The following is a 27,940-nucleotide window of genomic DNA, read 5'->3' on the forward strand; positions in this document are numbered from 1 at the left end:
GGTTCAGCTGTATGTATATACCAGTAAGCTCAAAGTAACAGTAGCTGTAACAAAAATGAAGATTATTTCATTCTCACATAGAAACAAAATCTGGAAATAGTTTAAGGCTCATGTATAGAATCCATCATCTTCTAGCTAAGTGCCATGGTGCATACCTGTAGTCTCAGCTACTCTAAAGGCTGAGGCAGGAGGATCACTTGAGCCCAAGAGTTTGAGGTTGCAGTGAGCTATGCCCTCAGCACTGCACTTTGGCCTGGGCAACAGAGTGAGACCCCCATCTCTAAAAAATAATAAATTAATAATAATAAGAAGAATAATCTTTGGAGACCCAGGTACTATCCTTAGGCCACGGCTTCAAGTGCTAAGGAAGGTGACATCATGGCCTGATACGGCTACTAGATTACATCCTTATTTCAGGCAGGAGGAAGAATAAAGAATGGTGAGGGCCTTCTAATTGCATCAGCTCATTTTAAGGAGTCTTTCTGGAATTTATTTGCATCGCATTAGCCAGAACTTAGTTATATGTCACACTTAGGGGAACAGGAAACTAGGGAATGTCGTCTTTATTTTAGGTTGCCATGTGCCCAGCCATAAATTACTAAGGAAAAGGGGATGAAAGGCTTTCCTTCTCTCTTCCTTCCTTCCTTCCTTTTTCTTCCTTCCTTCCTTTTTCTTTCTTTCTTTCTCTTTCTTTCTTTCTTTCTTTCTTTCTTTCTTTCTTTCTTTCTTTCTTTCTTTCTTTCTTTCTTTTCTTTCTCTCTCTCTCTCTCTCCCTCCCTCCCTCCCTCTCTCTCTCTCTCTTTCTTCTTGAGATGGAGTCTTGCTCTTGTTGCCCAGGCTGGAGTGCAATGGCGCGATCTCGGCTCACCACAACCTCCACCTCCCAGGTTCAAGCGATTCTCCTGCCTCACCTCCCAAGTAGCGGGGATTATAGGCATGCGCCACCACACCCAGCTAATTTTGTATTTTTAGTAGAGACAGGGTTTCTCCATGTTGGTCAGGGTGGTCTCAGATGATCCGCCAGCCTTGGCCTCCCAAAGTGCTGGGATTACAGGCATGAGCCACTGTGCCCGGCCGAAAGACTTTTGAATAGAAAATTAGCAGTCTCTCTCACAAGTTATTTGAATAAACTGAGTTGGTCCTCTTCACCTGAAAAACGCCAGGGGTGTTTAATGACCATGACAAAGCAGCATGAATTAATGGAAGGAGCACCCCAAGCTGCTCCCATTTCCCTATGTGAACTCAGACAAGTACCTGCACTTCTCTGTTGCTTTACTTTAGCCATATGCACAGTGAAAGGGCTCTAACAGTTCCACTTGTAGGATTTTATTCCTAGGAAATACTGAGTTACCTGATACCAGACCATATACACTTTAATAAGTTCTGGAAACAACCTATTAATAGATCATTCTATCCATCTGAGTTCAGTTGTGGGGCACAGGCACGACCTGAGCTCAGAAAGGGACTTCATCAGGTGCTTACAAAAGGATTGGAAGGGCAGGAGGAAGGGGCTGAGGCTGAGCTTCCAGCATTATGACTCTCAGAGCAGTATAGGTGAACTGGCTACCAGAGGGGCAGCCACATTGCCCCATCAGGAGGGCAGGGAAGCAGAGGGTGGCTGCTGGACTATGAAGTTCAAGTAGGCACTGCCATGGCTGTGATCCAAGGGGTCAGGAAATCACAGCCACCAGCACCTCTCAACACGTACGAAACTAGTGACTAGACACGGGAACACTGCTGCCAAATAACCAATGTCTCCATGCTGGGCTGGAACAGCCAAAATCTGTGGGACAATGGCTTTTCCTGATTTCCACCTTCCAAATCTAGCAGGAGTGAACCTAATCAATGAAACTTAATTTTTTTTTTTTTTTTTTGAGATGGAGTTCTGCTCTGTCACCCAGGCTGGAATGCAGTGGCACGATCTCAGCTCACTGCAATCTCCGTCTCCTGGGTTCAAGCGATTCTCCTGTCTCAGCCTCCCGAGTAGCTGGGATTACAGGCTTATGCCCCCATGCCCAGCTAATTTTTTGTATTTTAGTAAAGACAGGATTTCACTGTGTTGCCCGGGCTGGTCTCGAACTCCTGAACTCAGGCAATCCACCTGCCTCGGCCTCCCAAAGTGCTAGGATTACAGGCGTGAACCACCGCGCCCGGCCAGTGAAACCTAATTTCAATGAGAAACTTAACTACCAGGAAATTAGGTTCACGTGGGGCTTGGCCTTCCAGCCTCATATGTGGGAAAGCACACAGGAAAGAGGTTGGAATTGATGTGTAGTGCCGGTGAACTATATGCATGCACCACTCTGTATAAATTAGCTAAACAAATTAAGGTGCATTTGCACAGTGGAATGCTTTCCAGCCACTAAAATCAGTATTTTTGTAACCAATAAATACTTTCCAGTCACTTAAATGGGCAAGAAGGGACAAATCTTCTTAGAATTCCAGACAACATATTTCTCCCTTCGGGGAGTGGAGTTTATTTCCATATGCACCCTTGAATATGGCTGGACTTAGTGACTTGCTTCCTGAGAATAGAGAATGAAAAGGAAAAAATGGTAAGTTTCTGGACACAGATCCAATCCAGTGTACCACATCGGGTTTAGTCATCAGGTCTTCTTAATCTTCTCTGATCTTTGAGAGTTTTCCAGGAACCTCATGGCCAGGAGTTTGCCAGGAACCCTAACATCATCAGTAATAGATCATGTCAGTATCTATGCACCCCCTGAGACAATGAAATAAGATGGAGACTTTACCTCTGTGTATGTTCCTCCCCCAACTCCAGTTTAATCGTGAGAAACATGCCAGACAAACCAAATTAGAGGGACAGGCTATATAATACTTGGCCAATAGTCTTCACAACTATTAAAGTCATGAAAAACAAGAAATGACTGCTAAACTCTCAAAGGTCAGAGGAGATGAAGGAGACCTGATGACTAAAGGCAATGTGGTACCCTGGATTAGATCTGTGGCCAGAAAGAGAACACTTATGAGAAAGCTGGTAAAATCCAAATAACATCTGGAGTCCAGTTGACACTGTACCGGCCAAGCAGTTGCTCACACCTGTCATCCCAGCACTTTGGGAGGCCGAGATGGGCAGATCACCTGAGGTCACAAGTTCGATTCCAGCCTGGCCAACATGGCAAAGCCTCATCTCTACTAAAAATACAAAAATTAGGTCGGGAGTGGTGGCTCACGGTTGTAATCCCAGCACTTTGGGAGGCCGAGGTGGGTGGATCACAAGGTCAGGAGATCAAGACCATCCTGTCCAACATGGTGAAACCCTGTCTCTACTAAAAATACAAAAATTAGCTGAGCATGGTGGTGCGTGCCTGTAATTCCATCTACTCGGGAGGCTAAGGCAGGAGAATAGCCTGAACCAGGGAGGCGGAAGTTGCAGTGAGCCGAGATAGCGCCACTGTACTCCAGCCTGGTGACAGAGCAAGACTCCGTCTTAAAAAAAGAAAAAAAAAAATTAGCCAGGCAGGCTGAGGCGGGAGAATTGCTTGAATCTGGGAGGCAGAGGTTGCAGTTGAGCCAAGATCACTCTACTGCACTCCAGCCTGGGCAACAGAGTGAGACTCCATCTCAAACAAAACAAAAACCAATGTGCCAAGGAGCTTTGGTACCAATGTACCAATTAGATCTTAGTTTTGACAAATATGTCATAGTCATATAACACATTAACATCAGAGGAAGCTAAGTGAAGGATATATGGAAACTCTCTGTACTATCTTTCCAAGTTTTCTGTAAATCTAAGATTATTCCAAAATAAAATTTGCTGAGTGCAGTGGCTCACACCTGTAATCCCAGCACTTTGGGAGGACACGGTGGGAGAATTGCCTGAGCCCAGGAGTTCAAGACTGGCCTGGGTAACATGGTGAGACCCCTCATCTCTACCAAAAAAAAAAAAATTATTAAAAGTTTTTTTTTTTAAAAAAGGGGATCAATGTTGCTCTGAAATGAAATAAAATTTGATATGAAAATGTGTCCATTAACTATTCAGTTAGTGAAAGAAGCAGGTAATAAAACATCGATACTAATAAAATGGTTAGTTAGCACTTATTGAGTGCTTACAGCATGCTACCCTCTGTGCAAAATGATTTCCCTGGATTATCTCATTTAATTCTGAGAACTACCCTATGAGGTAAATGCTATTATCCTCAATTTACTGTTAAGGAAACAATGGGCTAGATGGGTTACATAACTTGTCAATAAAATATGGAGCTAGTCTAACTCTGGAACCTGAGTTATATGAAACACTACCATATATCACCATTTAGCTTTACTTATATTGTATTTATTTACAGAAGCCTAAAAAGGATATACTCCAAACTGTAAGAGAGAATTTTCTTTGTCATATGGAGACTATGGGGGAGGGTGTCACACAAATAAAATTATTTTAATTTTTTACAGTTATCCTGTAATATAGTAAATTAGGTATTTGCATTAATAACTACAAAAAAAGAGGCAGTAGGACTTTTGATTTCAAAAGGACTGTCCACTTCTAACACTCTGGAATTCCCAAGGCCCCTGACATCTCTGGAGGTTTGGTCAGAGGCAGAGGCAGAGGCTTGAGGTGGCAGTAGGAGGGTTTCTCAGCTCTCAGGGTAGTGGGTGGTGGGGCGTGGTGAATTTGAGCTTTTGGAGACTCTGGGCTGTTCTTCTAGCCTTAACCTTCCACTTCCAGCCCTCCTTGCCATCTCAATGGCTTTAGTGGCCTCTCTAATTAGTAGGAACATAGGGAGAGGCACAGCTTTTGTTTTGGTAAAAAAGAAGTCATATACCCACAAACCAGTGCTTCAATGAGGGTTGTCACCAAATTGGACTCTGGAAGGGGCAGTGACTGAGGAAAATGTAGGGGCCAGGCTTGATGTTGGAAGTAGCCTGCCCTAGCAGGCTCAGTCCTTTTACAAAGTTGTAAGATCCAGGGACACGTTCTCAAAGGTGTAAAATGGAGAAGCCAGGCCAGGTGCGGTGGCTGACGCCTGTAATCCTAGCACTTTGAGAAGCTGAGGTGGGAGGATTGCTTGAGCCCAGGAGTTTGAGAGCAGCCTGGATAACATAAGTAAGACCCCATCATCTCCATAAAAAAAATTTAAAATTAGCCAGGTGTGATGGCATGCACCTATGGTCCCAGCTATTTGGGAGGTTGAGATAGGAAGATCACTTGAGCCCAGGAGGTAAAGGATGTAATGAATGAGCCATGATCACACCACTGCACTCCAGCCTGGGTGACAGAGTGGGACCCTGTCTCAAAACAAAAACATAACAGAGAAGACAGGCTTTGTTGAGCTCCTACCACGCTGGGTGCTTTATTTGCGTTACTTCCAATGTAGGTACCATCCAGAGCCACATTCCCCAGATAAGAACAGAGGGAGTAGCCCACCTGGGTTCCCTCTGTGTGATTCCAGGCTGTGCTCCCAGCCTTAACCTTTCACCTCCAGCCATCCTTCAGTAACTTCCCTCAGTAAGCTCTCTCCTTACTAAGTCAGGAACCTGTGAGCTGGCATAGGATCAGTGGAGGCCCAGAATGGTTTGGCTTTTCCATGTTTTCTCAGCTTCCACTCTCAAAAAGGCATCAACAAAGGGACTAGTGACCAGGTGGTCATACTCATTCAAAACTCTGTCTCCAAGGAATGGCTGAGGGAGGGAATTTGGGATCTGCCTTGGGAGGTAGAGCAGAAAGGGAGTAGTAGCGAGGACAAAGGGAAAGACCTGCCTCTGAGGAACCACCATAGGGAAGGGCTAGGCTGATGCCCCACATATCAAGACAAACCCAGCCCCCGTCCAGAGAACTGCCAGGGAGATAGATAAGGGTGGGTTCAACATCAGAACTTCCCCTGACAGAGCTGTCCAGAGCAGAGCCAGCAGCTCGCAGTGCTCCCTTTCAGGGTCAGGGCTGCTGTGCAGGTGAAGGAAGGCTCACGGACCACCCATCAGAAGGAGGGCATGGGGACATCTGTTCCTAAGATCCAACAATGATAATAACAATAGCGAAACTGAGCTCCTTCTATGTGCACGCGTCATCTCACTTCACCCTAAGAAGGTATTACTCTCACCTTACAGGTGTGAAAACCGAGGTCCTGGACAGTTCTATTTATTTATTTTTCAGAGATGGTGTCTTGCTCTGTCACACAGGCTGGAGTGCAGTGGTGTGATCATACTTCACTGCAGCCGTGACTTCCTGGGCTCAAGTATTCCTCCTGCCTCAGCCTCCCTAGCAGCTGAGACTATAGGCACCTACCACCATGCCCAGCTAATTTGTCCTGGACAGTTAAGCTATTTGCTCAAGCTCACACATCTGGTAAACAGTCTGTTTATCTGCAGAGCCAGCATTCTTATGCAACATACAGCCTACTTCTAGGCATCCGGGGATTTAGATCCTTGGAGCCCATGATAAACAGACCAATGGGAGGTGACATCCTTATTTTTAGAGGCTTTGATTTTATTGCAAGGCCCTAGTCAGCAGTCATGAGATTTACCTAGGGACATGAAGACTTTCCTTCTCCGAAGAAGCAGATTAGAAAACTTGTCTTCTTAAACTAAGTGGCCACAGCCCTTAAAGACATGGAAATCTAAAAGAAGCTCTGATGGGCACTCCCAAGAAATTACAGACTTGGGTCTTTTAGAGACTGGCACTAATTAAAGGCGAAAGTCATGGAGAGGGCGGTGACCTGAACAACCATTCACCTCCCACATGGCACAATCTTGAGGTTCCATTTTACTTTTCTTAATCTGCCAGGGTTGAAAGAATCTAGATCTGAAATTTTTCAGACTTCAGTTTTCAAACTTCAAGTCGTATAATTGTGACTTTTTGGCCAAACAGAAAGTTTTATTTGTGGAATGTCATTATCAAGAATGAGGCACATGAAGATCTTTAATTCTCACCATGGTCAGAGTACTGTTATGACCTCCATTTTCCAGATAAGGAAACTGAGTTGCACAAAAGAATCAGGAACTTTCCCAAGGTCACACAGTTTTTAAGTGGTGAAGGAATTTAAATCCGGATCTGCTGAAGTCCAGAACGTGGCTTAGTACCACTGGGGCTGTAGGAGGAAGCCCAGTAGATAAAACTGTGAGTTGGGCCAGGCACAGTGGCTCACGTCTGTAATCCCAGCACTTCGGGAGGCCAAGGAGGGATGATCACTTGAACCCAGGAGTTCAAGGCTGCAGTGAGCCGTAATTGCACCACTGCATTCCAGCCTGGGCCAAAGAGCAAGGCCCCATCTCTAAAAAATAAAAACAAATTAAAAGATACAAATAAAATGATGAGTTAAGCTGCCTCGGTTTGGGTTTGGGTGTGTTGGTTTCGAAGAGGCCAGCTCATTGAGACTTCCCCTTGTGCCCTGTAGGGCCCTTGGAAAGCTTGATAGCACCAGAGCAGTTAAAAAAACTGGAAACAAATGTCCTTCAACAGAGGAATGAATCACACCTTCTGGTATATTCATTCAACGGAATACTTACTACTCAGTGATAAAAAGATAACATTTCAAAATAATTATGCTGAATGAAAAAGCTAGACAAAAATGGAGCATACCGTGTGATTGCATCTATATAAAACTCTAGAAAATGCAAACTAATCAATAGTGACAGTAAGCAGATCAGTGCTTACTTGGGGGCAAGGAGAGGGTGGGAGGGATTACCAAGAGGTGCCAGGAAACTTTTTAGGTGATTAATATGGTCACTATCTTGATTGTGGTGATGGTTTCATGAGTGTGTGTGTGTGTGTGTGTGTGTGTTAGATATGTATGTATCTTAATTATACACTTTATTCTTTAGGTAGGAGATAGCAAAAAAAAAGTTTACACTTTAAATATGTGCAGTTTATTGAATGAAATTACACCTCAAAAAAGCAGTTAAAAAAAAACTTCAGCTGGGTGTGGTGGCTCATGCCTGTAATCCCAATACTTTGGGAGGCTGAGGTGGGCAGATCGCTTGATCACATGAGTTTGAGACCAGCCTGGGCAACATGGTGAAACCTCGTCTCTAAATATATATATATATATAAATTAGTTGGGCATGGTGGTGTGTGCCTGTGGTCCCAGCTACTTGGGAGGCTAAGGTGGGAGGATTGCTTGAGCCCGGGAGGCGGAGATTGCAGTGAATGGAGATTGTGCCACTGCATTCCAGCCTGAGTAACAGAGACCCTGTCTCAGAAAAAGAAAAACAACAACAATAACACACACACACACACACACACACACACACACACCCCACTTCAAAATTCAAAAGATTTGCTCAAGCTCACTCAGCACGCTGATGGGGAGCCAGGCCAGGCCAGAGCTCCCCCTGTGGCTCACACCACTGTGAGGAAGGAAGCCTCCCCCACATACAGCCCCCAGGCTTCACCCTGTACTGAGGGCCAGGTGGTTTCTCTCCAGTCATGGTAATGTGGGTACTGGACAAGCCCGGGCTCTGGCCACCAGGCAAATGGGTAGGTCAACAAGGCAAAGTTGGTGGGAGCTTCACCCCATCAAGCCCAGAAACAAGGGCTGGTTACTGGGAACACCCTAGGGTAGGCTGTACTCACAACCAGGAATCTTTGACAAAAATATAAACCTGCTAGAAAGATTAGAAGAGACAATCTCTTCCTTTGTCAAATTATCTGGACCAACACCTACTGAGCATCTACCATGTGTGAGGGTCTGTCCTAGCTCACTATCTTATGCAGTCTAGGTAAGGATGGAATGAGATAAATGCAAGGGCATGACACACTAAATAGGCATCCCCCAAATAGTAGCCATTACTCATCTATCAAATATCCCCTAAGTCCTTGCTCTGTGTGCAGAGGGAACAGATACTTGGGCTGATCCTCGAGGCCAGGAAAGATACGTGGACAGAAAGCTTTGCCACAACACTGAAATTTGTGTGATAAATGCTTTGAGGGCCAAGAGGAGAAATAAATTACTTCCAGCTGTGGAGAGGTTTCATGGAGGCTGTGGTATGCAAGGGAGGGAAAGGAATTTGTATATGGAGACAAGGGAGGCTGGTGGAGGAGATCATTCCGCTTACAGGGGGCAGGCAGCATGAATAAAAGCAAGGCACCTGAGGAGCGGGCTGGCTGGCTGCAGCGAGGAGTGAGAAAGCCTGGAAGGGTGGGCTGGGGCCAAGTGCACAGGGAAGCCTCGGAGAAATACGTGGCCACGTCTGCTCCCCACCCCCACCCCTGCAGAAGCCTGAGCTCCGCTGTGTGATTCATTCATTCCGTGGACAGCCAGCTGGGCTGATGGCAGGCGTGGGAGCTTCCCTAATGCCTCTGTGGCCTTGGAAGAACAGAGCCAAGTGCCTCAGCTAGAAACTTGGATTTCAGCTGGGGGTGGTGGTATAGAGAGAACTCAAAGGAAATGAACCCCTCTGAGAAGCACTCACTCTAAGAGACACCAGTGTCTCAACTCTTGGGCGTTCCCAGTGGGCCAGCCAGACCTCCTAGGGCAACTGAAAATGGAAAAAATCCTCAAGTTTGTTCTCTCAGAGCCCAGAGAAACTTTTTTTTAGAAGAAACTGTCTTAAACGTCTCTGTGGATGGTCAAGTCCAGGAGACACTGCCATCTGGTGGTCAAGAAACACATTTACCTGGTGGGCTGGGAAGGAGTCCCTGCACCCCGGAGGGGCCACGAAGGCAGAAATGGCCCTGAGATTTGTTTAGTACTTTCATAATGGGATAGAAAGGGATGGAAATTATGCTTGCAACCAGTTTAGAGTTGAAATAAAGTGTTATTTCTGGCTACTCAGTTCCCCGAGGTGCAGCAATTATGCATTGGGCAGATGAGGAAACTGTCCATGAGATAGATGAGGTGGCTGCTTCCATGTCTGAGCTGGTCAAATGCAGAGCCAGATCTTATTCCAGTCTCCAGCAGCCCTGGGTCCCCAGTAAGTGCCCAATAAATGGCTAAAGTGGTGATTCTCAACATGTGACCCCCAAGAGCCTTTCAGAAGGCACATGAGGTTCAATTTAAAAGCTTCTGTAAGATGCCTTTTCCTCCTTAACAATTGTACGGTAAAGTTTTCTAGAGTCTAAAGGAATGCAGTGACTTCATCTAGTCCTAATGACTAATGGGATGTGTGCCTGGGTATTTTTGTTTTAAAAATTCCTGTTTTAATTTCTAATGTAGTATAACCCACATAACCAAAACTGTTTGATAATAATTTTTAAATTTTTTTTGAGACAGAGTTTCACTCTTTCACCCAGGCTGCAGTGAAGTGGTGCAATCTTGGCTCACTGCAACCTCCACCCCCCGGGTTCAAGCGATTCTCCTGCCTCAGCCTCCCGAGTACATGGGATTACAGGCATGTGCCACCACGCCCGACTAACTTTTGTATTTTTAGTAGAGACGGGGTTTCACCATGTTGGCCAGGCTGGTCCCAAACTCTTGACTTCAGGTAATCCACCTGCCTCGGCCTCCCAAAGTGCTAGGATTACAGACGTGAGCCACTGCACCCAGCCGAGATCCTCAAAAATTTTTAAGAGTATATAAGATCTACTCAGGAGGCTGAAGCAGGAGGATTACTTGATCCCGGAAGTTAGAGGTTACAGTGAGCTATGATCATGCCACTGCATTCCAACCTGACTAGTCTCAGCCTGACTTAGCCTGACTGGAATTCAAATGGCCATTTTGACAGATTTTTGACTAATGAAATATTTTAAAAATGAGTGGCAGCCAGGTGCAGTGGCTCATGCCTGTAATCCCAGAACTTTCGGAGGCTGAGGCAGGTGGATCACCTGAGGGCAGGAGTTCAAGCCCCTTTGGGAGGCCAAGGCAGGAGGATTGCTTGAGCTCAGCAGTTCAAGACCAACCTGGGCAACATAGCAAAACCCCATTTCTAGAAAAAAACTAAAAAAAAAACAAGGTTAACTGGGCATGATGACATGTGCCTGTAGTGCCAGCTACTTGGGAGGCTAAGGTGGGAGTATTGCTTGAGCCCGGGAGGTCAAAACTGCAGTGAGCCCTGATTGCGCCACTGCACTCCAGCCTGGGTGACAGAGTGAAACCCCATCTCAAAACAAACAAACAAAAAGCCAAAAATGAATCACTAATATTTTCTGAGTGATTTTTTAACCAGCAATCACTGCTGTAATTAATTTACATGTTTCATTTCATTTAATCCCCACAACCACCATTTGCAGTAGATGCTATCATCACATTTTGTCTGTGGACACTGAGAGGTTAAGTGGCCCAGCTAGGAGGTACTGGAGCTTGAACTCTATCCCAGGCAGTTTGTCTCCACAGCCTCTTCCTACTATTCCACTTGCTTAACATTTGATAATCTCTTGTGCAATTCACTTGATAGACAAATTTTTTCAAAATATAGAGTCTATGAAACTGGTGAAAAGAAAGGGGATCACTGTTCTGGGTCAATGCCTCCACTTTATAGGTGAGGAAAAAATGAGGCCCAGAGAGGGGAAGTGATTTGCTAAAGATCACACAGCAAAGAATCAGAATCTACAGGGTGTCTGACTCCCAGGTGGGAACTCTCAAAACTCCAACCCAAGTAAGCATAACCACCTACATGTGAGCAAGCAACACCAAGACCAGGCAAGACAACATCTCCAACAAAAGCAGCTTGATTTTATTGCAGGGAAGCTAGGAAGGAATAGGACAACTGAGGGTCTCCGCAGGAACACCATCACCCGGCATGACTGCCAAGTCCCAGGTCTGTCTGGAAGCCAGCGGGAGGATCAGCATCCTAGGAAAGATGGAAAGTTAGATGGAACAAAGGTGCCATCTGGTGTGGACATAGCGACATTGCAAAGGCAATAAATGCACTAAGAGACAGGGGTGACGCAGGGGTGCACTAAGAGTCTTGCACTAAAAGGCAGGGGTGAGGTGGAAAACGCAGGGTGCAGATGCAGGAGCAGGACTAGAGCCCCAGTGTCCAGCCCTGCACACTGCTCCCATGAAGTCTGTTATACTTAGGTTGGCTGGAACGCATTAACCTTGCTAAGCCAATCACTGCCAAAGCCCTCTTCTGGGGAATTTCCAGGGCTGCCAGGATACCCAGTCAACAGCACTCTCTATCCTGTTACAGGTTGGAAAGGCAATGAACAAAATCATGGCAAATAAATCTGCCAAGAGTCAGATGATCAAGGTGACTTCAAAACCAATAAACACTCTATCTTTGAGGTTCCCAAGCCTGGCTTCAAATCAGTCACTGAGGAGCCTCTTAAAACAGACTTCAAAGACATGCTGCCTGAGCATGTGGACTAAAGCTGGCTTATTGGGTGATTCTTACTGAGTACTGTGCATCTGAATTTCCAGGAGCCTTTCCAAACAATACATGGTTACTGAAATATGTACAGGTAAGATTGCATGATGTCTAGAATTTGCTTCAAAATAATCTGGGCAGGAGGGAGTGGGCATGATGTCTAGAATTTGCTTCAAAATAATCTGGGTGTTTCATCACCCAGATGAAACAATGAGGACAGTGGAGTTTCTAATCCAAGATGTGTGCATTAGGGCTCCCCCACATGGATACAGATAGCTCCAGAAGAGTTTTTTTCCTTCTCTTCCTTAATTCCTTCTTGTCACAGAGCACTTTTATCAAAAAATAACAGGCCTTGGTGAAATAAATACTAACTGTTGGATCTGAGTGACGGGTACTTGGGGATTCATTCTATTACTCTACTTACACATGTTTGAAACTTCCTATCATAAAAAATCTAAAGTAGATTAAAAGTACCATGAAAATTATTAAGTATTGGAAGGAATGATTTACAACACATGCTATGACTTGAATGAATCTTGAAAACATTATGCTACATGGAAAAAGGCAGACACAAAAAGGTCACATATAATGTAATTCTTTTTATATGACATGTCCAGGGTAGGCAAATCCAGAGTAGCAGAAAGCAAATTAGTGGCTGCCAGGGGATGGAGAGATGGGTAGTGGGGAGTGACTTCTTAATGGATACAGGGTGTGTTTCTGAGATGATGAAAAAATTTTGAAACTAGAGAGAGATGGTGGTCATACAACATTGTGAACACACCAAATGCCACTAAATGATAGACTTTAACCCATTTATGCCTAGTGTTCCATTATTGGAACGCTAAGCTTGCAGGAGTTATTTATATCCTACTGTTCAAGGTCATCACCAAGGTTTGATTTTTCACATAAAAAACTTTGCAATATTCAGCATAAATGGGTTAAAATAGTTATTATGTCTTGTGAATTTCATCTCAATAAAATAACATGAGAAAACATGTTTTCTATGAGAAAAACACATTAAGCTACACATGGTTTACATCCAACAGATATTACTTTTTTAGTTAAAAAAGTTCGTATGCCCAGGCCTGGAGTTTCTAATCCAAGATGTGTGCATTAGGGCTCCCCATGTATATAGCTAGTTCAGGAAGAGTATTTTTTTCCTTCTCTGCCTCCATTCCTTCTTGTTACAGAGCGTTTTTATAAAATACAGTCTTACGGGAAGCCCAATATGACACAGGACCGTTTGGGAGCTATGGAGGGTCCAAAGCCCCATCCACTCACCCTCCCTACAAAACCCTAGGGGTGGAGGAATGATGTAAGAAACACTGTTCTTCAACATGCTGGAAACCGCTGATGTTTTACTTCCCTAGAGGATAAACTTTCATATGTGGAGAGATTGCACAGCAGTCCCCACAAGGCAGGAAAGCAGGTTGGAGGTTTTAGCCCCATTTTACCGATGGGAAGACCAAATCTCTGTAATGTAAAAAGTCCCCAAAGTCAGTGTGAAATGAGGAAAGTTGGAATTAGAATCCTAGATTCCTCATTATTCATCCTGGGTTCATTCCTGAATATGGGTTCTATCTATGGATGGAAAGTGCATGACGAAAACAGATGCATCTGACATCTTGTAACTTGCATGTGATGTTACCACATACACAGAACACTGCTATGACTCAGGTTCCAAATGTATGCCTTTGGGAAGGAGGCTATCCTCAAAGAGGACCTACCAGTCAGTGTGGCTAGCCTCTGTCCAGGGGGTCTCTGTGGGCCCATTCACAGGGACAATGCCACCAGTAACAGTTACAGAACTCCGATTCAGGATATCTGACTTTCTTCCTGCCTCTGCTACTCACCAGGGTGGGACTCTGGTTGAATCACTTCCCCTCTCTTGGCCTCATTTTTCTCAGTCACGTCAGGGCACCAAACCACATCAGAGGTGTGGCGATCATTGTAATTCACGAGTCAAATGCACTACATGGGCAGTGGCAGCCAGGAGTGCCCTGCTGAGACTGTGGCTGGATCAATGAGTAAGGTCTGCCTGGTTCCAGAGCGAAGAGTGCTGGCACAGTGCCCCTTACTGCATCACTGGATTACATAAAAGTGAAGGGAACATCTAGCTCAAACATGCTATTGTTTTTGTACCAGTCTGGACAGAGGGCATGCTCAGGAAGCTGACAACAGTTTCAAGTAGAGAGAGCGGCACAGTCTGAATTAACTCACTTGGTCAGGGCACAGGAGAACAAGGCCCAAGGCACAAGTGTCAACTCTGATGAGATAGTCAGTTTATCAAAGCCAGAGCCATGTGTGGTGATAGGTGCCTATAGTTCCAGTTACTTAGAAGGCTGAGGCAGGAGCATCACTTGAGCCCAGGAGTTAAAGGCTATAGTGCACTATGATCACACCTATGAAGAGTTACTACCCTCCAGCCTGGGCCATATAGTGAAACACTGTCTCAAACCAATGAACAAATAAAGAAGTCAAAGGTGCACTGCTTAGGGTCACATACTGTAAACTTAAACCCTGCTAACCATGAACTGCAACCCTCAAGTCTGAAAGAGGACTCTGGGAGACATTACACAGTGCTCTGTCCACTCACAGGGTCTGTAAGAATTCCCTGAACTTGTGATTTGCATTAGACAATAATAAAATATTTGTAACCACTCCAAAGAAGGTGGACAGTGGATTGAAAAGAACCCAGAGGGCTCTCCCGCTCCACTCAAGCTCTCAAAGGCCAAGGTGTTCGCTCTGATGAGAGGTGTGAGCTGTAGGTTTGTTCAGCAAGTGCTGGGGCCTTACCCACCTGCCCCCTTTGGTCCATCCTGTGGGCTGTGGGGACCAGGCCCCTGCTACTCAAGGCCAAGGTAGGAAACAGTCTTTCCTGTTTTCTTCAGGGTTGCAAGCAGAGTGTCCATGCTGTGCTCAGATTCAATGCAGACCTTCTTGTTGGGCAGGTCAATGTCATACTTAACTCCTGCAGGAAGAGGAAATGGGGTATGGGGAGAGGAAGCACAGACCCTCCCAGTTACAGCAAGAAAGAGTTCAGGCTCTAAATTACTACTCACAACCACCCTTGCCCTTTCCTCTAGAGCAGGGATCGGCAAACTTCTTCTGTAACAGGCCAGAAAGCAAATGTTTTAGGCATTGTGGGTCACATATAGACTCTGTTGTATATTCTGTGTATTTTTTTTATAACTCTATTCCTGAACATACAAAAACAGGCTGTGAGCAGGATTTGGCCCATGTGCTGATCTCTGTTCTATACTAGGGCTTTCTGAGACAGAGACGCACTCTGTTGCCCAGGCTGGAGTGCAGTGGCATGATCTCAGCTCACTGCAACCTCCACCTCCTGGGTTCAAGTGATTGTCATGCCTCAGCCTTTGGAGCAGCTGGGATTACAGGCGTATGCCACCACACCTGGTTAATTTTTGTATTTTTAGTAGAGACAGGGTTTTGTCATGTTGCCCAGGCTGGTCTCAAACTCCTAATCTCAAGTGATCTGCCCGCCTTGGCCTCCCAAAGTGCTGGGAGTATAGGCATGAGCCACCGTGCCCAGCCACCTTTTTTTTTTAATTGCAAAAGTAATATAGACACTTTTTTTTTTTTTTTCAAAAAAGCAAACATTTCTAAATAAAAGTAGAAGCAGTAAGGCCCCCTACTGATCCTGCCCCTAGAGATCACTGTGAACAGTCTGGCTTCTATCTAGACTTTGTCCTAGATAGACAAATGAAAAATAATTCCTCCAAATCGCATCACACTATATAAACAGGTCTTGCTAATATTTTACTTTTCTCTTTATTTATTCATTTTTATTTATTTATTTATTTAGAGACAGGGTCTCACTGTGTTATACAGGCTGGAGTGCAGTGGCACAATCACAAATCACTGTATCCTTGAATACCTGGGCTCAGGTGATCCTCCCTTCTCAGCCTCCCAAGTTGTTGTGACTACAGGCACATGCCACTATGCCTGGTTAAGTTTTGTATTTTATGTAGAGACAGGGTTTCGCATATTGCCCAGGCTGGTCTTGAACTTCTAGGCTCAAGCGATCCGCCTGCCTTGGCTTCCCAAAGTGCTGGGACTACAGGTGTGAGCCACTGCACCCGGTCCATTCTTTTTTTTTTTTTTTGACACAGAGTCTCGCTGTGTCACCCAGGCTGGAGTGCAGTGGCACAATCTCAGCTCATTGTAGCCTGACTCCCGGGTTCAAGCGATTCTTCTGCCTCAGCCAGCCTCCCGAGTGGCTGGGATTACAGGCATGAGCCACCACACTGAGCTAATTTTTGTATTTTTAGTAGAGATGGGGTTTCGCCATGTTGGCCAGGTTGGTCTTGAATTCCTGATCTCAGGTGATCCACCTGCATTGGCCTCCCAAAGTGTTGGGACTATAGGCGTGAGCCACAGTGCCCGGCCCTATTCTTTTTTTAAAAGCTACAATCTTCCACAGTGTGGACGTACCACACATCCACTTAATTAATCCACTGTTAAAGGTCATTGAGGATGCTTCTAATTTTTCACCACTATCACAATGTTATAGTAAACATATTTGAACTTGTCTTAAAACACTTATAAAAATATTGTTATACCATGAATTCACAGAATGGAAATTGTGGGGCAACAGATATTTGGCACATTTTGAATGTTTAATAGACATTGCAAAATCGCCCTCCTAAATGGCTATGCCAATTTACAGCTCCCCAGCAGCACATGGGAGGACCCAGAGTTTTACTCTGACAAAAGAGTGCAAAAAGAAAGGAAAACTCTTGATAGGTTCTAGGCCTGGCCTCACCATTGACTTGCTGGGTGACCATGGGCAGGGAGTCGGTGGGAGGAGGGTCCTGCTTCTCACAGGCCTCAGCTACCTCATCTGTACATGAAGGAGTCAGGGCTGGCCAGCTCCTGTGGCCTTTCCAGCTCAAGGATGCCATCAGTCTGTGATTCCTCAGCCCTACCACTGTTCTTTTAGGGCCATAAGCAACTCAAAAAACCCTCCTGACCCTTCTCAAGAGGCCACCCAAGCAGGGACAGTAGGAAAAGATGGGCAGAAACCTGCCGAAGCTTAAAGGCAGATCTTCCAGCAAGGGGCCTTAAAAATCATATGGTTGGCCAGGCGTGGTGGCTCATGTCTGTAATCCCAGCACTTTGGGAGGCTGAGGCGAGTGGATCACTTGAGGTCAGAAGTTCAAGACCAGCCTGGCTAACGTGGTGAAACCCCATCTCTACTAAAAATACAAAAATTAGCTCAGTGTGTGGCATGTGCCTGTAATCCCAGCTTCTCGGGAGGCTGGGGCAGGAGAATCACTTGAACCTGGGAGGCAGAGGTTGCAGTGAGCCAAGATCATGCCACTGCACTCCAGCCTGGGAGACAGAGTGAGACTCCCTCTCAAAACAAACAAACAAACAAACAAAACATATGGTTTCCCAGCCTGCATAACAAAGCAAGACCCTGTCTCTACAAAAAACAAAAACAAAAACAAAAAAATAGCCGGGTGTGGTCCTGTAGTCCCAGCTACTCAGGAGGCTGAGGTGGGAGGATGGCTTGAGCCTGGGAAGTTGAGGCTGCAGTGAGCCAAGACCGCGCCACTGCACTCCAGCCTGGATGAAGTTCCTGGGATGGGTAGATGTCTTTGAGCTGTCAAACGAAATTAGGCCCATCCCCACTTCATCCAGAGCCTGCTGCTTTGTATTTGAGGAGCTCCTGTACAGTTTCATTTTTAAAGCATCAACAGGCTGGGCACGGTGGCTCACGCCTGTAATCCCAGCACTTTGGGGGACCAAGGTGGGCAGGTCACCTAAGGTCAGGAGTTTGAGACCAGCCTGGCCAAGATAGAGAAACCCCGTCTCTACTAAAAATACAAAATTAGCCGGGCATGGTGGCCTGAGCCTGTAATCCCAGATACTCAGGAGGCTGAGGCAGGAGAATCGCTTGAACCTGGGAGGTGGAGGTTGCGGTGGGCTGAGATCACGCCATTGCACTCTAGCCTGGGCAACAAGAGCGAAATTCTGCCTCAGAAAAAAAAAAAAAATTAGCCAGGCGTGGTGGCGGGCACCTATAATCCCAGCTACTCGGGAGGCTGAGGCAGGAGAATCGCTTGAACCCGGGGCAGAGTGGAGCAGGTTGCAGTGAGCAGAGATCATGCCACTTCACTCCACTCTAGCCTGGGTGAAAGAGCAAACTCCATCTCCAAAAAAAAAAAAAAAGAAAAAGAAAAAAAAAAGCATCAACAGCAAAAGCTGATACAGACATACAAGATATACATTCCCATACCACAGCTGGGGAAACCCAGGCCCGAGAAAGAAGGGCCCACAGTCACATGACAAGTCAGCAGCTAGGTTCTTTCCACTGTTTCAGTTTCTTTCAGATTAAGATCCCAGTTTACAGGGCTAGAGGCCAGCCACTGACTTGCTGCGGGACTACGGGCAAGTCACTTAACCTCCTGGACACTGGCATCGACATCCCCATTCCAAAGATGGAAAGTACAGCTCAGAGGACTGCTAATGAGATCACGTCCATGTGGAAGCCATTTGAAAACTTAATGTCATTATTATTTAGGGTTTTAAAAAAGAAAATTTTAGAAGATTGTGTGATAGTTCATGTGGAAGAAAAAGAAAAGAAAAAATCTTAGAAGGCTGACTGAGCACTGGCATTGCCAAAACTCTGATCACAACTCAGTTATTACCTCACTGAGTCCCAGGACCAGATCCCAGTCCTCTCTGGGCCTCAGTTTCCCCAGCTGTAAAATGACAAGGCTGGATGAGACTGATTGTTCAAAAGAGGTGCTTTAAGAATATCTGCATGTGGCCAGGTGCGGTGGCTCATGCCTGTAACCCTAGCACTTTGGGAGACCAAAGCAGGCGGATTACTTGAGGTCAAGAGTTCAAGACCAGCCTGGCCAACATGGTGAAATCCATATCTATGAAAAGTACAAAAATTCACCGGAAATCGCCTGAACCCAGGAGGCAGAGGCTGCAATGAGCTGAGATCATGCCACTGCACTCCAGCCTGGGCAACAAACAGAGTGAGACTTCATCTCAAAAAAAAAAAAAAAAAAATCTGCATGTGAGTGATTCAAAATTAATTTAAATTTTTTTTTTTGAAGTAAAGAAACAGAAAAAGACAAAATTTTAAAAATTTTTACCTTTTTTTAAATCTTTCCTTTTTTTCTTTCTTTTTTTTTTTTTTTTTTTGGAGACAGGGTCTTGCTCTGTTGCCCCCACTGCAGTGCAGTGGCACGATCTAGGCTCACTGTGGCCTTAACCTCCCAGGCTCAAGCGATCTTCCCACCTCAGCCCCCTAAATTAGCTGTGAGTACAGGCATGTAACACCATGCCTGGCTAATTTTTTTGGTATTTTTTGTAGAGATGGCATTTTACCATGTTGCCCAGGCTGGTCTCGGGAACTCCTGAGCTCAGGCAATCTGCCCGCCTCAGCCTTCCGAAATGCTGGGATCACAGGTGTGAGCCACCGTGCCCAGCCCCATTTAAAAAACCTTAATAGAGGCTGCGTAGGGTGGCTCGCGCCTGTAATCCCAGCACTTTGGGAGGCCGAGGCGGGCAGATCACCTGAGGTCAGGGGTTCGAGACCAGCCTGACCAACATGGAGAAACCCCGTCTGTACTGAAAATACAAAATGAGCCAGGCGTGGTGGTGCATGCCTGTAATCCCAGCTACTTGGAAGGCTGAGGCAAGAGAATTGCTTGAACCTGGGAGGCGGAGGTTGCAACAAGCCGAGATTGCACCATTGCACTCCAGGCTGAGCAAGAAGAGCGAAACTCTGTCTCAAAAAAAAAAAAAAAAAAAAAAATTCAATAGAAAATGACACTCAGATGTGTCATGCAGTACACACTGGAGATGACCAACATATGAACTAGTACTGCCATGGCTCCAGAGCTACTCCTGGCAGTACTAGTTAATTTGGCTAAATCCCAGCTCTGCCATTTACTGACCATGTGATCCCAGATAAGTTATTTAATGTTTCTGAACTTCAGCTGTCTCCTGTTTAACATGGAGCTAGTAAAAAAAAAACTATCTGAAATGGCCGTGGTGAGGATTAAATGATGTGATTCACATAAGCCACTAAGAAAATAACAAGAGTAGTTGGCACGTGCTAAGTACTCAATATATTTTAGTTTTACTGTTATGATCAGCTTAACCCTAAGTCTCTCCTGCAACATCTGCATGCATCTGAACATGGCATAAGTGCACCCAACTCAGGGCCACTCACTCACCTCCAAGCTTATTGAGGACCCGAGAGACAGCTTCAGCACAGCCTCCACAGGTCATGTCCACAGAGAACTCGTGCTTCTGAAACAAACACAGGGGGACCATGACCCGAGCCCTGTAGAGTGACCCCCACACAGTGCCAGCAGACAGGCCCACTCAGGGTCAAGACAGAAGACAGAGAGACTGGGCAGGACCTGGTTGGCATCAGACTCATCAGAAGCCTGTTTCTGAGCCCGTCTCTTCAACTATAGAGTAGCTAAGAGTTTCTACCTCACAAGTTGTATTCAATGGAATCATCCCTATAAATCCTTTAGCAGTGTCTGGCACATAGTAAATAGAATCACCTGGAGATCTAGTTTAAAATGCTTTTTCCCAGTCCTACCTTCAAAACACTGATTCTTGAGCTATGAGCTTTGTCTCAGGGCCACCAGTAACTCTGACAGGGATGGGCCCCCATACTCTGAGCAATGCTGATCTGGTGGGCCCACTTATGAACCACAAAATTATTTTCTGCACTAGAGTCACCTACAGCTTGCAAAAACTACAGGTTCTGGTCAGCAGGTCTGGGCTGGGGAATCTGTTATGTCTACTCATTACCCCAGGTGATTCTGCTTTCATCCAAGGGCCGCATTCTCAGAGGCAGCATCTGGGTCCAGGGAAAGAAAGGATTGCCTGGGTTCCCCAGTGGGTTGGAGGCCAGGCAGGAAGGGATCCCCGGCTCCTAGTCTTCATGTAAGCTCTACATTCTACAGTCTCTAGGATATCTAACAGATCAAGGGTCTGAAGGTAAGCTCCCAGAAGACAGAGGTTTTGTTCAGTTCACTACTGGATTCCTAATACTTGGAACAGTGCCTGGACAGAGTAGGTGCTTAAAACTTATTTTTGAGTCAATGGATAATTGACATGGCTGGTTTGAACTTCTGGATCTTTTGCTTTGCTTTCACACAAGGATTACTTATACCAATACTTTATTTTAAAATCTCTGGAAATGAGACCATCTGAAATCAGATAAATATGGCTTCAGATACCAGCTCTGGCACTACTAGTTGCATGATCATCAATATGTTACTTCTCTGTGCCTTAGTTTCCACATCTGAAAATTGAGGGTAAGAGTCCCTCTCTAGATTTGTGAATGGGATGAACACAGGATTTTAAGTACGGTTAGCCAGCATCCAAGATGGCCTCAATGATCTCTGCCTCTGGTATTTATGCCCTTGAGTAATCCCATTCCACATGTCTCGGGTTGGTCTGTGTGTCTTATAGAATATGGCTTGAAGTGAGGTTATGTGGCTTCTGAAGCTATCACAATGTCATAAAGGACACTGTGACTTCTGTCTTGCTCCATTTCTGGGGTCACTTGCACTAGAGGAAGTCAGCTACTAAATTACAAAGAAATTCCAGCAACCACAAGGAGAGGTCCACAAAGTGAGAGATTGAACCCTCGAGCTAACAAGCATGTGAGTGAGACATGTTGGAAGTGGATTCTCCAGCTCCAGTCAAGCCTTCAGATGAATGCAGCTCCAGCCAACATCTCACTGCAGCTTTATGAGAGCCTCTGAGCTGGAGCCACTAGGCCAAGCTGTTCCCAAATTCCTGACTCTCAGAAACTGTGTGAGTTACTATAAATATATTTGTTGTTTTATACTACAAAGTTTTGGGATAATTACTAAGGAGCAATAGATAACTAACACATTAAGGAAATTAGAGCCTAGTACTAGGTTCCGTTGGGTAAAAGGTTAGCTATTGGATTATTAATTTCTTCCATTTGTCTCTCCTGTTTCCCTTCAAAAATCAATGGCTACATTTTTCATGGAGCACTTCAAAATATTTGAAGTCTATTACCTCAGTTGGAATCCTGGGTGTAGTGATATATCTTGCTAGAAAACCACAGGCAAAATCTCTGCTCCAGAAGGGCTCCAGTTCCCTAATCTATACCAAAAGGGTATTAGCTAACTCAATTTTTTTCAACTTTAGTGTGCATAGGAAGAATCTGGGGACCTTGTGGAAAGTGCAGCTCCCAGACACCTGCCTCAACTGACTCTGTGGATGTGGAGCGGGCCCTGCCACTCCCCATTTTTAACCTACTGGGGAGAGAACGGGAGGCAAAACTACAAACCTGAAAATAAAGTGGCTAAGTGGCTTCTCAAACTCTTTCCAAGTCTCTAAACACCGCTGAGTCTGGATTGTCACTGTGCTCTACAGAGGAAACGAAGACCAAGAATTAAGCAGCTCGATTTTCCAGTGCAGACTGTTTGACCTTTGTGACTAGTAAACCACTCCTTTTATTAAGGCCAAATCTGCAAAATCTGTCTTAAAGAAAATGGTCAGTCTTTCCTTTCTTCTAAACATCTCTGATTTTTTCATCTTGTTTCCTGACTATTCACAGACAGCAACAATAACAGATTCTGGAAAGAAGGATTTGTAGTAAGTATTACAAAATCTTGTCTTTAAAATGTGGTCCTCAGCCCAACAATATGAGCATCACCTGAGAGCCTGTCAGAAATGCAGAATCTCAGGTCCCTTCCCAGAAGTCCGGAATCAGAATCCTCATTTTAACAAGACACCCAAGTCATTCCTCCCCACATTACAGTCTGAGATGATGCTCTCCTCTATTAAAAAGTTTTTTTAGGCTGGGCAATGTGGCTCATGCCTATAATCTCAACACTTTGGGAGGCTGAGGCAGGTAGATCACCTGAGGTCACAAGTTTGAGACCAGTCTGGCCAACATGGCAAAACCTGTTTCTCTACTAAAAATAGAAAAAAAATTAGCCAGGCATGGTGGCAGGTGCCTGTAATCCCAGCTACTTAGGAGGCTGAGGCAGGAAAATCACTTAAACCCAGGAGTTTGAGACTAGCCTGGGCAATACAGTGAGATCATGGCTCCATTTAATTTAAAAGAAAAAAATTGTTTTGGAAAAAAAAATGATGATGCTCTGGAACATGGATTGGCACACTACAAACTACCTGTTTTACAAAGAGTTTTGTTAAAACATAGCCCAAATCGGGCCAGGTGTGGTGGCTCATGCCTGTAATCCCAGCATTTTTGGGAGGCTGAGGCGGGAGGATCACGAGGTCAAGAGATCGAGACCATTCTGGCCAACATGGTGAAACCCCATCTCTACTAAAAATACAAAAATTAGCTGGTAGTGGTGGCATGCGCCTGTAGTCCCAGCTACTCAAGAGGCTGAGGCAGGAGAATCGCTTGACCCAGGAGGCGGAGGTTGCAGTGAGCCAAGACCATGCCATTGCACTCCAGCCTGGCAAGAGAGCGAGACACCGTCCAAAAAAAAAAAAAAAAAAAAAGAAACACAAAAACAAAAAACTACAGCCAAACTCATTTGTTTACTTTTGCACTAGAATGGCAGAGTTGAGTAGTTGTACCAGAGACCCTATGGTTTGTGAAGACTAAAATGTTTACTATCGGTGCCGTGTAAAAAAAAAAGTTTGCTGAGTCTTGCTCTAGGATAACCAGCAGAAAATCAATTCATCTATGGTTTGTACTTATATACTGAGCCAAAGCTTTGAAGGGTTTGCAAGATCAACATAAGAGCTAAATCTACTGATTGTCTATTACATGTCAAATTATCTTTGTACAGTATCTAAGTTAGTCCTCACTGAGCCTGGAAAGAGAGCTATTTATCTTATTTCACTCAGGAGGAAAGTGAAGTTCCCAAGAGTTCACTAGGTAGCTTGCAGTCATGTGGCAAATAACTACTGAGTATGGAATATGAACCTAGGCTTTCTTCGCTCCAGGGAAATCTTGCTGGTTCTGGAAAAGCAAAGTACACCGCCAGCCCTCATAACCCTGACTCTCAGCAGAAGCTCTGAAACTAGAAACACATTTTTAGGGAGCACAGTTTTTTGCTGCCCAAGGACCTAAAGTCAACAGATACCTGAAACTTTCTGTCGCTGACTACAGGGAGTAGGTCCCATCCCCCACAGTATAAAGGTCAGAAGCCAGAAACCAGCTTCTGGGTATAAACATTACAGTTCAGTGCTCTCCTCCTCCACCTCTGAGGGGCAAAAATAAATTTGAGGGTGATGGAAAATCTATTTCATGGACAGAGTAATCACTTCTTTATAGGAGAATCTCAAGATTGGCTCTACCACCAGATGCATAACTGGGTAGTTCTGGTTCCTCATGGCCTCTGGGGTCTTTTATAAAGACTTATAAAATGGGTAGATTTTAAAAGCCAGTAGGTTTAAAGTAGGTTTTTAAAGTCAGTAAGTGGGATGATTCTTTTTTTTTTTTTTTTTTTTTGAGACTGAGTCTCACAGTGTCACCCAGGCTGCAGTGCAGTGGCACGATCTCAGCTCACTGCAACCTCCGCCTCCTGGGTTCAAGCGATTCTCCTGCCTCAGACTCCCGAGTAGCTGGGACTACAGGCGTCCGCCACCATGCCCGGCTAATTTTTTTGTATATTTAGTAGAGACGGGGTTTCACCATGTTGGCCAGGCTGGTCTCAAAGTCCTGACTTTGTGATCTGCCTGCCTTAGCCTCCCAAAGTGCTGGGATTACAGGCATTACCCGCCGCACCTGGCCTATTATTATCCCTTCTTGACAGATGAGGAAACTGAGATTTAGGGGTTAGTTCACACACTCACGGTGATTCGGCTGAGTAGGGCCTGAATTGAACATAGTCAGCCTCTAAAACCTCAATGCTTAACCACTGAGATCTTGTTAAAATGGGATTGAAAGCTGCCTGCCTATAGTTTTCTCTTCTCTTCTCTTCTTTCTTTCTTTCTTTTCTTTCTCTCTCCTTCCTTCCTTTTTTTTTTTTCTTTTGAGACAGGGTTTCACTTTCACTCTGTCACCCAAGCTGGAATGCAGTGGCACGATCACGGCTCACTGCAGCCTCAACCTCCCAGGCTCCAGCAATCCTCCCACTTCAGCCTCCCAAGTAGCTGGGACTATAGGCACGGGCCACCACGTCTGGCTAATTTTTTGTATTTTTTGTAGAGCCAGGGTTTCATCATGTTGCCAAAGTTGGTCTCAAGCTCCTGCATTAAAGTGATCTGCCCGCCTGGGCCTCCCAAAGTGCTGGGATTACAGGCGTGAGCCACCATGCCCGGCCTCACCTGCCTATAGCTCTAGCCCACCTGTCCTACGTCTACACAGGAGCTACCATTTCTTGGGGACTAGATATATCAGTGGCTGTGTGACATATTTTACTGGCATTTTTCCAGTTAATACTAACAACAGTCCTGTGAGGTCAAAGTTTTTGTCCCTATCTTACAGATGAGGAAATCAAGGCAGTGAGATAAAGCAACTTGCCTGAGGTCACCCAGTTGGCAAGCTGGGGCACAGATTTTCAGAGGTTTCTGGGATTCCAAACCCTGTGCTCTCGGGCATTTGTCTGAGAAAACTCTCAGGTAACACACTCTTCCCCTTCCAGTATGTGTATATAGATATATTTTTTTCTTCCCTTTCCAGTTTTGAGGAAATCCCTTGACTAACACCCTCTTTCCTTCAGCTGTTATCTTGTGGTACATGGTGCCAAGTGCCCTCCTCATTCCCATCATCTGCTCCAGAGGGTTTTTTGTCAAAATCCCCAGAAGATACAGAATACAGTGATGATCAAGCTAGCCTTTTCCTCATTGCCACCCCCCACAAAAAATCCTGGTGGCCTTCACTCCCCAAGCCCCAGGGCAATTAATACTGTCTTCTACCATTGCCACAGGCTGACTTGCCCAACTGGTAGGGCTGATTCTATCAGATTCCTTATCCATACTTTGTTGTTGGAGGATTTGTCTCAAGGCACCTGGCAAGACCCACAGGAAATGACACCTGAGATGTCAGTGGCTCTGCCCAGGAGGCCTCAGGCTCACCTGCCAGCTCCCTAAAGACAGGATGCAAAGACACATGGCAACTGTGGGATACCTCTGGGTATCCACCTGGCCCAGAGCCATGAATTAGGCACCCTGAAGAAAATGCTAAACACCACATGACCCTAACCAAGATGCAACTGAGATCAGAGCATCTTCCCAAGCCGGTGTGACTGCTTTTGCCTGGCACCTCCCATGTGGTCAGGCCTGGAGAGATGGGGAGCCTAAGGATAAGGAGCTGAATCCTGGCTCTGCCAACTTCAACACGACCTGGAATAAGTTACTGGGCTTTTTATATTTTTATCTGCCAAAGGCCTCAATTCTTTATATAAAAAACGAGGCCACGAGCAACAATATATGTGATAAGACTGAGTGATCTGCAAAGGCAGGCTAAGACTGACTTCCCAGACACAGCCACTGAGCAACTGGTGACTGTGCGGGGGGGTTCCTGAACCTCTCTGGGGCTCATGGGTTCAGGCTGAGAAAGTGTCTCCATTCAGTGTCGCCCAGAGTTGATCTGAAAAGTAGGCCAGAGTGGGCAGGGAAATTAAGAAAAGCATGAACCTCTGAAAACCTGCCCGGTCCGTGAGGAAATAACCGGGTCCACTCCCTTGTCCAGAGCCTCCCCACCGCCCTCCTTCAGGCCAGCTCCGCGGGCAGGGCAGCCAGGAGGAAGGCTCAGGGACTAGGCGTCTCAGTTCCCGCTGGCCACCAACTCCCCCATCCCCTGCCCCCTCTCTGGTTCTGTTTCTCTGTGTACGCAGGGAAGGTGTGGGCTTGTCGCCCCTGGAGGCCTTCCAGCTCCGACGTTTTGAAGCCTGGCTCCCAGATTAAACTCCCTTCGGATCCCATTTTCTGAAGGGTCGCAAAAGCTGGGGGCTGGGTGGGGTAAGCTAGGGGACAACAGCGGCTCCGGCCGCCGCCTGAGCCCTTCAAGATCAGCATCCGGTCAAGCGGCTGTGCAGCCGAGAAGCAACCCGGGACTGCAAGTCTGCGTGGCGGGGACGGCGCAACCACTCACCGGCATGACTGAGGCAGCGGCGGTGTGGCGGCGGTGTGGCGGCGGTGTCAGCAGCGCCTCTCTGGATTCGGAGGGCGGGTTCGGCTGCGCTTCCGAGAGTGCGCACTAGAGGCCTGGTCCCGGAGGCCCCTCCCACTCCGGGCCCGGCCGCGAGGGAGGCTCCGCCCCCTCCAGTCCTGATCCCTGCCGGCCGCGCCGCCTCCTTTCTGCGGGCCGGGCCCGTGGTCACCCGGCCTGGACGGAGAGAGGAGGTGAGAGGGGCGCTGCGTTGGCCTCCATCGACTGTCGGCCTTTTTCAGAACGCCTACTTCGGGTCAAGCTTGTGTTAGGGAATGCCAGAGAAGGGCACCGCCTTGAACAGGACATCATCCATCCATCCCTAAAAGGACAGTTTCACTCATTTATTCACCGAGTCAATTTTTATTAAGCGCCAGCCAACGAGGACGCAGCGGTGGAAGAGCAGCAGCAGGAGGCTGCGAAGGACGCAGGCAGTGATAGTGCAGGGTTAGCAGAGCTGTTGTGACAGAGGAGGAAGGGCCCTGACTGCAGTGGGGTGGGGGCGGTTGTGGAAGAGAGGCGGCCTGGGGAGAAGGCAATAATCTGGACCTCGGTTAGCCTTTATCGCCCTGTTACAGGCTTTGTCTCTAAATACAGTCGCATTGGGGGTTA

The 27,940-nt window shown here is 46.1% G+C and overlaps 1 protein-coding gene and 1 long non-coding RNA gene across 2 annotated transcripts, besides 10 other annotated features; one reads left to right on the forward strand and one right to left on the reverse strand.

The window, feature by feature from the left end:
* Positions 8,874-9,168: a silencer, noted in NCBI's record as "tiled region #608; K562 Repressive non-DNase unmatched - State 8:EnhW". NCBI's record gives its function as "represses a minimal TATA promoter and a strong SV40 promoter by Sharpr-MPRA in K562 cells {active_cell/tissue: K562}" and the evidence as "EXISTENCE:reporter gene assay evidence [ECO:0000049][PMID:27701403]".
* Positions 9,334-9,628: a silencer, noted in NCBI's record as "tiled region #4972; HepG2 Repressive non-DNase unmatched - State 13:Ctcf". NCBI's record gives its function as "represses a minimal TATA promoter and a strong SV40 promoter by Sharpr-MPRA in HepG2 cells {active_cell/tissue: HepG2}" and the evidence as "EXISTENCE:reporter gene assay evidence [ECO:0000049][PMID:27701403]".
* Positions 9,334-9,970: a biological region, named in NCBI's record as "Sharpr-MPRA regulatory regions 4972 and 759".
* Positions 9,394-9,688: a silencer, noted in NCBI's record as "tiled region #759; HepG2 Repressive non-DNase unmatched - State 13:Ctcf". NCBI's record gives its function as "represses a minimal TATA promoter and a strong SV40 promoter by Sharpr-MPRA in HepG2 cells {active_cell/tissue: HepG2}" and the evidence as "EXISTENCE:reporter gene assay evidence [ECO:0000049][PMID:27701403]".
* Positions 9,427-9,970: an enhancer, noted in NCBI's record as "H3K27ac-H3K4me1 hESC enhancer chr5:151120262-151120805 (GRCh37/hg19 assembly coordinates)". NCBI's record gives its function as "activates a minimal SCP1, AML or CMV promoter by ChIP-STARR-seq in naive H9 embryonic stem cells {active_cell/tissue: H9 hESC(naive)}" and the evidence as "EXISTENCE:reporter gene assay evidence [ECO:0000049][PMID:30033119]".
* Positions 9,428-9,477: an enhancer, noted in NCBI's record as "active region_23465". NCBI's record gives its function as "activates an Ori minimal core promoter by ATAC-STARR-seq in GM12878 lymphoblastoid cells {active_cell/tissue: GM12878}" and the evidence as "EXISTENCE:reporter gene assay evidence [ECO:0000049][PMID:35858748]".
* Positions 11,548-27,357, reverse strand: ATOX1 (antioxidant 1 copper chaperone). The gene is made up of 4 exons (NM_004045.4): positions 27,272-27,357; positions 20,430-20,505; positions 15,005-15,175; positions 11,548-11,685 (listed from the first exon to the last, which is right to left on the reverse strand). The coding sequence occupies exons 1-3, from the start codon at positions 27,275-27,277 to the stop codon at positions 15,051-15,053; spliced, it is 207 nt and encodes a 68-aa protein (NP_004036.1). The 5' UTR covers positions 27,278-27,357; the 3' UTR covers positions 11,548-11,685; positions 15,005-15,050.
* Positions 13,574-14,773: an enhancer, noted in NCBI's record as "P300/CBP strongly-dependent group 1 enhancer chr5:151124409-151125608 (GRCh37/hg19 assembly coordinates)". NCBI's record gives its function as "activates an origin of replication core promoter dependent on BRD2, BRD4, P300/CBP, MED14 and CDK7 cofactors, with strong dependence on P300/CBP, by STARR-seq in HCT116 cells {active_cell/tissue: HCT116}" and the evidence as "EXISTENCE:reporter gene assay evidence [ECO:0000049][PMID:35650434]".
* Positions 18,396-18,645: an enhancer, noted in NCBI's record as "active region_23466". NCBI's record gives its function as "activates an Ori minimal core promoter by ATAC-STARR-seq in GM12878 lymphoblastoid cells {active_cell/tissue: GM12878}" and the evidence as "EXISTENCE:reporter gene assay evidence [ECO:0000049][PMID:35858748]".
* ATOX1-AS1 (ATOX1 antisense RNA 1) lies at positions 21,806-27,086 on the forward strand. Its single transcript, XR_007059008.1, has 4 exons — positions 21,806-22,035; positions 22,399-22,848; positions 25,664-25,797; positions 27,015-27,086. It is a non-coding gene; the product is annotated as an ATOX1 antisense RNA 1 (long non-coding RNA).
* Positions 26,396-26,525: an enhancer, noted in NCBI's record as "active region_23467". NCBI's record gives its function as "activates an Ori minimal core promoter by ATAC-STARR-seq in GM12878 lymphoblastoid cells {active_cell/tissue: GM12878}" and the evidence as "EXISTENCE:reporter gene assay evidence [ECO:0000049][PMID:35858748]".
* Positions 27,296-27,545: a silencer, noted in NCBI's record as "silent region_16527". NCBI's record gives its function as "represses an Ori minimal core promoter by ATAC-STARR-seq in GM12878 lymphoblastoid cells {active_cell/tissue: GM12878}" and the evidence as "EXISTENCE:reporter gene assay evidence [ECO:0000049][PMID:35858748]".

Source organism: Homo sapiens, chromosome 5 (assembly GCF_000001405.40).
Source record: "Homo sapiens chromosome 5, GRCh38.p14 Primary Assembly".
NCBI lineage: Eukaryota > Metazoa > Chordata > Mammalia > Primates > Hominidae > Homo > Homo sapiens.

Bases quoted from the DNA above. Each gene is read 5' to 3' on its own strand.
- ATOX1 (NM_004045.4), bottom strand. The intron at 15,176-20,429 runs GTGAGTGAGTGG...CTCTTCCTGCAG, and splicing joins GGTCCTCAATAAGCTTGGAG to GAGTTAAGTATGACATTGAC.